This window comes from Homo sapiens, chromosome 3 (assembly GCF_000001405.40).
Source record: "Homo sapiens chromosome 3, GRCh38.p14 Primary Assembly".
Lineage (NCBI taxonomy): Eukaryota > Metazoa > Chordata > Mammalia > Primates > Hominidae > Homo > Homo sapiens.
In genome coordinates, this window is record NC_000003.12 from 108,847,560 (window position 1) to 108,856,966 (window position 9,407).

At 35.9% G+C, this 9,407-nt stretch overlaps 1 protein-coding gene across 2 annotated transcripts in view; it reads left to right on the forward strand.

Moving 5' to 3' along the window:
• TRAT1 (T cell receptor associated transmembrane adaptor 1) overlaps positions 1-7,446 on the forward strand; it is a 32,220-nt gene extending 24,774 nt beyond the window's left edge. For both annotated transcript variants that reach the window (NM_016388.4, NM_001317747.2), the window contains 2 exons: positions 1,607-1,695; positions 6,061-7,446. In NM_016388.4, coding sequence (NP_057472.2) covers positions 1,607-1,695; positions 6,061-6,318 — 347 coding nt within the window. In that variant the 3' untranslated portion in view covers positions 6,319-7,446. The remainder of the gene's footprint in view (positions 1-1,606; positions 1,696-6,060) is intronic.
• The last annotated feature ends 1,961 nt before the right edge of the window (positions 7,447-9,407 follow it).

The window sequence follows — 9,407 nt, forward strand, 5'->3', positions numbered from 1 at the left end:
GAATGTAGGGCTGGATTGATGGCAGGTGGGAGAAAGAGGAACTAAATTGTTGCTGAGTGGTTTATATATTTATTTTGTTCTTATGTAATAAGCGCTCTTCAGTTCCCAGCATCCCTTATCACTTGTGTCATCCCAGACATCTAAAAATGAAACATCCCTAAATTTCTCCAAACAGATAACCTTGGTCTGATTCTAGAGTTCTGATGATAGAAGCTACCACCCTTTCCCTGCAAGTACTCATTCAATACATCAGAGGAGACTTGGGGGTTAAATGCTGTTGAACTCCAAGTTTTGAACACAGAGACATCCAGTAATGTAGGAAATTTATCTAAAAATCTATATATTAAAACAGTATGGAATCATCTTAAAGTTAGAAATGTGGGAATTTTCTTTTGCGTGATTCAAGAATTTATTTTTATCTTTCCTTTCATTGTAGAGTGTCCTCTAGTGCTCTAAGGAATCAAAAATTATTTTTTGGAAATATATTATTCAAAATAATTTGTCCCCATTTCACTTTGGAGAATCATGTTAGTCACCTATAATACTCAACTACTCAAATTCTTATGTATTCTGATGGCTCCAAACCCATTATACCTGCTACTTCCATACTTAAGTGAGCCCAGGTGCCGCTTGCACACATTCTGATTTAGCAGGTCCAGGCTAAGGCTTAGAGATCTGCTACTTAACATCCCAGGTGATTCTGATGCAGATTTTCCATGGACCATGATTTGAGAAACACCACTCTACATACCCTTTCTCTGTGTTGCTTTTCAGAAAGAGCTCAATGATTATTAAGTCGCTTTTCTTATAGTAAATATATCTTTCTCTCTCTGAGGGTCAAACTGGTACAATCCACACTTCTGTCAGGTTACTGGCCATCCTATGAGTCACTACTTCACTTTCTTCTTCCTTTTAAATGGACATATCTGGGGGAAGAAAGGTATGGATGATTCAAAAGGCATGTCCCCATAGGATGAAATGAGTACAGATCTGCTGGCTGCTGGACACTGTACAAAAGCCCCAAATACTAAGGACCAGCATTGTGCAGCCCCAGACCCTTAGGCAGTCTGGCTGAGATGTCCGTCACTGATTGATGGGACAAAAGTCATAATATAAACCCTCTTTTTCAAAATTAAGATGTGGGACTTAAAATGTCCCTGAGCAAAACTCCTTACTCAAAGAACAAATTTCAAAATTGTAATCACTGATGTATGTGCACTGTGCTTTGTGGCACCATGCACCATTTGCAGTCTATCTTAAATAAAGAATACTGGCAATCCCTTAACTTGTGAGATCTCTATAACATCCAAATGGTAGCTTAAGACTGTCATGTCCTGCAGTGGTACAAGAAAATTCATATGATCTAGTTCTTATTCCAAGGATTTATTTTTATCTTACTAACCCTTTAGCTCAAGAGACTTCACCGCCTGATCTGCAGGTAACAGTTTGGGCTTCCTTACCTCTTTCTATCTCCACCAAAAAGACTAGTTAAGTAATTCTTGGGCAGTTTATATTTGCAGCCAAATGTTGTTTGGATCATGTATTTTTAATCATACTAGTATTTTTAAATTTTCTATTGTGAATCACAATCTTTTTAATTCCCAAGAACCAATGGATGAAAATTGCTATGAACAAATGAAAGCCCGACCAGAGAAATCTGTAAATAAGATGCAGGAAGCCACCCCATCTGCACAGGTGAGTTTTGTTTTCTGTTTCCACATTTGCACATTTCAAGAGCATAAGAGTAGTACATTATGATACACATCTGAAATAGCCTGTTAGAAATTTTGCAATCAATCAGATGTCAAGTTCTGGGACCTGAGCTCTAACTCAGGGTCATGTAAACAGAACTCAAACCATATTCAAAGAGTCAAAATTGTACACAATCACAAAGGCAATAGATTTTAAGGGAATAATAGGATTATTCCTAAGTAATCTATTAAGCTTTTTCTTTCTGATTGAAAATTTTGTGTATATCACAGAGATAATATAATATAGAAGGTGACACACGGATAATGCTCACAAGACCTAAATGTCAGGAATTCAAAATACAGAGCTGGGGTAGGGAGAGGGAGACCTTTAGTTATAAGATAAATTAGCTAGATACAAAACATCATATCCCTATTTTAAAAGGCAGATGACTTTCAATTTTAATACAAGTCCTGTGGCTGTGGTCTTATGGCAAGAGATTGCAAAATATACACACAGTTTATGTGGACGTAGGCAGGACAAAAACCTAAGGAGAAACATAAAAATACAGGAAGAAATGGATAGTTTCTCTTTTTCCTACCACAATCTGTTCAACCTCTTCAGTTTTAGTTCTAACTTTATTAAAAGCCATTAGAAATTTTTAGCCTACATGCTCCTGAAATGCTATACATTTCAATTAAAATAGTTTTTCTTCTCCTCTCAGATCCTGTCTTGTTACTGCCTAGAAATGGTAATAGAGCCAGCATTTCCTAAGCAATTTTTACGTGTTGGTCTTGTACTATGTGCTTTATGTTCATTATCTCCTTAGATTCCTATGAGGGAGGCAGCATTATCATTCCCATTTTACAAATGCTCACAAAGGATGAAAACTTGCCCAGAACACTTAGGTACTAAGTAAGTAGACAGAATCCAAACTTAGTCCTCTCTTACAGAACATTCTCTTCCCTAAAATGGCTCACATCTTGAAAATTTCCCAGTGAGGTAGAATTTTACTCTTTTTCTTTAGATAAATCCCCTAAGAAATCAAACTTTTAAACTTTTTTTTTTTTTTGAGACAGAGTTTTGCTCTTTGTCGCCCAGGCTGGAGTGCAATGGCACAATCTCCACTCACTGCAACCTCTGCCTCCCGGGTTCAAGCGATTCTCCTGCCTCAGCCTCCCAAGTAGCTGGGATTACAGGTGCCTGCCACCATGCCCAGCTAATTTTTGTATTTTTAGTAGAGACGGGGTTTCACCATGTTGGTTAGGCTGGTCGCAAACTCCCGACCGCAGTGATCCACCCACCTCGGCCTCCCAAAGTGCTGGGATTACAGGCATGAGCCATCGTGCCCAGCTGAATATTTTTTAACTAAGAAACCAAGATGTAGTAGGAGTTGGGAAAAATATGCTCACCAAATCTGCCATATAATGTTTAGTTAATTATAAAATATATTTTAGATAAACATATGGAAAACCTGCATGATATAATATGATTTGCTAAATCCATGATAATAAAAAGAAAACCTCTCAAGGAAGGTTAAAATACATTATCTGAAGTGTAGAGATTCACAGCACTTTAGTTGTAAAAGTACTGAGAATTCTGAATAGAAGTTACTATTTAATACACATGACTTGTACAGGGTAGCTTTATTTGACCTGCATCTGGCTTTCACTCAAGTGAAAATTATGCAAAGCCTTAAAATGTCTTTAAAAGCCTGCTCTTTTGTAAATTGTGTATTTAAAGGTACTTCTAAGAAAATTAGTCTTTTCTATTATACTATTCTCATAAATTTAGTTTCACAAATTAGAGGTAATATCTTCGTATTTGCTCAATTTTATTTCACTACAGTGTTTATTATCATAAAAAAACACTACCTAGTTTGCTACTACAATACCTACTTTGTTACTTTGGTCAACCACAAAAGCATAAGGAACTAGGATATTATGCATAAAGCTTGATAGACAAAGTGTTTCTTCGTTGGAAAAAATGTAAATAGGCTCCTTGGCCTTTGAAAATGATGTGTACAGTTCAGAAATTGTAATTTTAGTATCTCAGTCTTCTATTAACTAGGAAGAGTTAATCAGAAAGCCTAGTAATAAAGTGAGTTCACAAGAGTCCCCAAATCCCAAAACATTTGAAAAATACAAGTGTGAGCTTGCTCCTCTTCTCTTCATATCCAAATCTCTAATCAATCTTTTCCTCCTATGTCAGAAGCATCCTCTCTCCTTTCCAAAGCCAATGCTCTTATTCATGATCTTGACCCTTTCTCCTAATTATTTCAGGATCTTGTACTTTCAATTGTTGAACTTTTCTCAAGTTTCCATTTTTTTAATGAATCATTACTATTTGCCTACCAATATGTGAAAGTCCCTCCAATATTAAAAAAAAAAAAAACACCTTACTTGAACTGTTTTTCCTTCTAATTTCTAAACTGATTCTTAGCTTCTTCCTCTATTGTTTTGATTTCTTTGGATAGATACACATTCATTTACCCTGGCTATGTGTTTTCCACCCATGCACTTAACTAACACTGCAGTGTGGAAGTCTCCAGTGACTATTAAACATACAATTTGTGGTCCTTTCTTAGGACTCACATTCTTTAACTCTGCAGCACTTGATAAAGTTGACCAAGTGTTGACCACACATGCATTATTTGGAATGCTTTCAGTTATAAATGAAGAAAACAGGTTGAGATTAAATTAGAAATAACTTGACAACAGTATATGGCAGTGGGAAGAAACTAGAGCATGGATCCAGTTAGGCAGCTATTACAATTTTTCCAGAAATGAGGATTTTAAGACTAAGAAGCTAGACACAACAACAACAACAACAACAACAACAAAACCACACAGCCAGGTGTGGTGGCTCACGCCTATAATCCCAGCACTTTGGGAGGCCGAGGCGGGCGGATCACCTGAGATCAAGTGTTCAAGACCAGCCTGGCCAACATGGCGAAACTCCGTCTCTACTAAAAATACAAAAATTAGCCAGGCGTGGTGGTGGGCACCTATAATCCCAGCTACTTGGGAGGCTGAGGCAGGAGAATCACTTGAACCTGGGAGGCAGAGGTTGCAGTGAGCTGAGATCGCACCACTGCACTCCAGCCTGGGTGACAAGAGCGAAAGTCCATCTCAAAAAACACACGCATGCACACACACACACACACACACACACAGCAGAGGGTATAAATAGAACCATCTTTTCTATCTGGCAGAGAATATAAAATGTTTCACTATTAACATGAAAACAAGTGCCAACGGGGAGATGCTTACTTACGCATTAGAAATGTTGTTAATCCAAATGTTATTTCTTCACCCTGTTCCTGCAAATCAATACAATTTTGGCCTAGTCTTAAAGAGTAATGCTTAATACATAAATCTTTGGTTTGTTCAATGGCTGTCTTAAAGTTTTAGTCTACAACTTTTCATAATTATAGTGCTACCTTACTTTTGAACAGTAGTTATAACTTTCATATACATTATCTCTATGTACTAACCATAACAACACTATGATGATTTGCATTTTCTAGGCAAGAAAATTGAGGTTCAGAATATTTTTAAAAACCTGACCAAGATCCCATGATCACTGTATGGCAGAGCTGGGATTCAGTCGTAGTCTTTCCAATGCCAAATTCAAGGTCTTGCCTTTAGCATGTTGCTTCCCCTAGATAGCCTAGTTTCCTGTCTTTCTTTAGTATTGACCCAGGTCTAGTCCGGAGAAGCCCACTGGGCCCTCTTGGATGTGAATGGATATCTCCAAGGCCAATCCAAAATGAGCTCAAAAGGGAACTGGGGAAGGCAGATAAGAAAATAATAGGGAAAGATAAGAAATTTAGTTATTTGCCAGATATCTATCATGTAAGTGAATATTGTTATCTTTATACTTCTGAATCTTAAAAATGTAGAAAAACTGGGGACTTTTGTGGTACCATTAAATGACCAATTGTTAGGTACATGTAAAGTAGACCCTTGTGATTTGGTAAACTCCTTCCTATCATGCTTATTCCTACTTTAATAAACTGGAGTATCGTTACTTGGTAAGAGCGACACAGGGCCAGAACTACCTTAGGTGGAGGTGGAGGTAGAGGCAGGTAAGAATCAACCTAAAATGTTCATGTACTGTTAGAGTATAATAAAGAAATAAAAATCTAGGAAAAAGTTTCATCTAAGCACTTTTTCAACTCAAGAGTGTTGGCTGACTATAGTTTTCTGTTCTGTTTTTTGTTTTTGTTTTTTGTACTGACAAATTTGGCAAAACAAGGTAGGTGAGGCCTAGAAAACAAGTTACTTGGTTTTCATACGCCACAGAAATTTCCAGAAGTCAAGCTAAAGAACAGACTAACAATGAAAAATTAACATCCCTTTCTTTTAGGCAACCAATGAAACACAGATGTGCTACGCCTCACTTGATCACAGCGTTAAGGGGAAGCGTAGAAAGCCCAGGAAACAGAATACTCATTTCTCAGACAAGGATGGAGATGAGCAACTACATGCAATAGATGCCAGCGTTTCTAAGACCACCTTAGTAGACAGTTTCTCCCCAGAAAGCCAGGCAGTAGAGGAAAACATTCATGATGATCCCATCAGACTGTTTGGATTGATCCGTGCTAAGAGAGAACCTATAAACTAGCTGGACCATGATCTAGTTCAATGATTTGGCTCCTATTGAAGATGGCTTCTAAGAAAACAAGATGCACAGAGGACACAGAAGGACTTGGCAGCAGGGTGATGACCTGATCATTTGTTGATGGGATGGTGGCTTACCTCTTATTCACAGCTTACACTTATGCATGCCAAATGTAAGGCCATGAAAATCAGTATTTCAAATAACTTAAAAAATGCTTTACTACTAAAATGTAAAAAATTAATGTGCTCACCTCGGCAGCACATATACTAAAAATTAATAAGACCCAGCTTGAAAATTGAGCCTGATAACAAGATTACAAATTCACAATACCTAATACTTAGGGAAATATAAAAATTTAAGCATGAATGTGTTCTGGAACACGTTAGAAGAAAAATAAAAGCCAATGAGTTTTTTTTTAATTCTCCTTTCTCACCAATGGGCAATAGCCCATAATTGAAATAAATTTCTGATTGAAAGGTATAGGAAACATTAAAATGCATTACTAAGAGAAGTAATATAATTTTCTTACAAAGTATTTTTCCCAAAGATAGCTTTACTATTTCAAAAATTGTCAAATTAATGCATGCTCCTTACAACAAACAAATATCAAAAAGAGTTTAGGAATTCTACTAGCCAGAGATAGTCACTTGGAGAAACTTTCTATATATCCTTCTAAATATTTTTCTGGGCATGCTTATGTATGTACATCAGTTGTTTCTTTTTATTTTGAACCAAAAATGTGGTTTCTTTTGTACACATTACTTAAACTTTCTTTCCAGTCAACAATATATTGTGGATTTATTTTCACTGTTATATTTAACTATATATAAATACGCATATATTGTAATTTTAATGTCTGCTTAGCACCCCACTGATAACCAAATCACAGTTTATTTAAATAATTTTAATGACTTTTCAAAAACAATTTATTGATGCAAAAAGCAAGGTTGAGATGACAATGTTTCTTTCAATAATTAAAAAATACTGCTTCACTGTCTTCTCTCTGTTTCATCAGAAACACATACTATAATACTTGTCTCTGTCCTTAAGTGTGATACACGCTATTTTTCTGATTGTTAAGACTTTCCTTATTACTGGTTCTAATTTGATTATAATATGCCAAGGTATGGTTATTTTTCAAGTGTCTTGTGTTTGGAATTTGTGGAGCTTCTTAGATCTATGTATTTATATTTTCATCAAATTTGGGTGGGGGAAAATGACCAATATTTTTTTTTCTGTGACCCTCCGCATTTTCAAGTTTTTCAATTACTTGCAAATGGTCCCACATTTTACTTATCTGTTTATTTTATTTCATTCTTTTTTGTATTTCATTTTGGATAGTTTTTCTTGCTACATCTTCAAGTTCATGAATCTTTTTTTTCTAAATGATCTAATCTGCCATAATCCTAGACAGGACTTTTTAATCTCAGATAACTTAGTTTTTATTTCTATAAATTTAGTTTGGGTCTTTTGTCCCCCATATTTCATGTCTCTAACGTACTTAATCTCTCATCTAACATCTTCAACCAATGGATACAGTTGTAACAACTGTTTTAATGCTTCTTAAAATCTACTAATTCTGTTATCTGTCATTGTGAATGAGTTTCAAGTGATTTATTTTTCTCATTATGGGTTATATTTTTCTGCCTCTCTAAATGCCTGATGATTTTTAATTAGGCAGAAAATACTGTACATTTTCCTTTGTTTGGCAATGCATATTTTTGCATTCTTATGTTTTTGAGCTATGTAGCTGAAAACTAACTTGATAGTTTGTTTTCAGTGACATAGCTAACTGAAAACTATCAAGTTACTTGAACACAATTTGATCATTTAGAATCTTGCTTTTAAATTTTGTTAGATTAAGCCAGAGCAGCTTTTAGACTAAGTTAAATTTAGTTTATTACTGAGGAAAGATCCTCGTTAGTACTTAGTACCACCGTTCATGAATTAGGACGTTTTCCACTTTGGCTGTTGATAATCGACACTATTCCCAGCCATGTGTGAGTCATGGGCACTGTTTTCTTTATTATTTTCAGGTGGGTTTTTCCCCAAGTTCGGGTAGTTTTGTCACTTGCGTGCACTGACCAGTACTTAACTGAATACTTGACGGCGACTCTTCACATATCTCCAGAGTTTTCTCTACACGCAGCTCTCTTCTCTCCAGTATTCTGCCTTTTTGACTTCTCTTGACCTGGAGCTCCATCTCCTCAATTCAAGAGATCAATGGTCTTTTACCTAGGTTTCCTCTACCTGCTCCAAGGCCTGAAACTTTTCTCCAGGCAATAAGATAGGATGATAGGAAGGTTTACCTCATTTGTTTCCCATCTTTCAGGGACCGACCTTTGTCCTTCATTGCCTGAAACAGTATGTCAAGTAACACTGTTTCATCTACTTTGTCTGGAGTTTAGTTGTTTCAGCTGGCAGAGTATGTTCAGGTAGTAGGGTAAATCTAGGATGTTATTCTATCTTTGTCAGAAGCAGAAATCCAAGGCATTCTTACCACTTTACTGTAATTCTATAGTATATTTTTAGTGTAATTTAGTATAATTCGATAAGCTAAGCAGGATCATTTGAAATGTGAGTAAGCTATGAATTACTGATCATCATGTAATTATTAGGGACTATATATACATCACCTTTGGCAGTTTTCAGGGCTTATGTTCCAGAAGGAATACAGGATGAATATCCTGTATTTGGAAACAGAAGTGTTTCTGATTTTTAGATTTTGGAATATTTATTCATATGTAGTGAAGTATCTTAGGGATGCGACTTAAGCCTAGACAGAAAATTCATTTATGTTTATATACACATAGCTTGAGGGCTATTTATGTAATATTTGTAAATAATTTTGTGCATTCATCACATAATGTCAGGTGTGGAATTTTCCACTTGTGGAGTCATGGCACTCAAAAAGTTTTCCACTTTGGACCATTTTGGATTTTGGATTTTCAGATTATGGATCCTCAGCCTGTATCATTATAAGCCTTAACATTTCAACTGGAAAAAAAATATGTACGGAGGAAAAGAAAAAGAAAAATCATGACTAGAAAACAGATGAATTCCAAGTCTTGAGATTTTCACTGACAATGTTT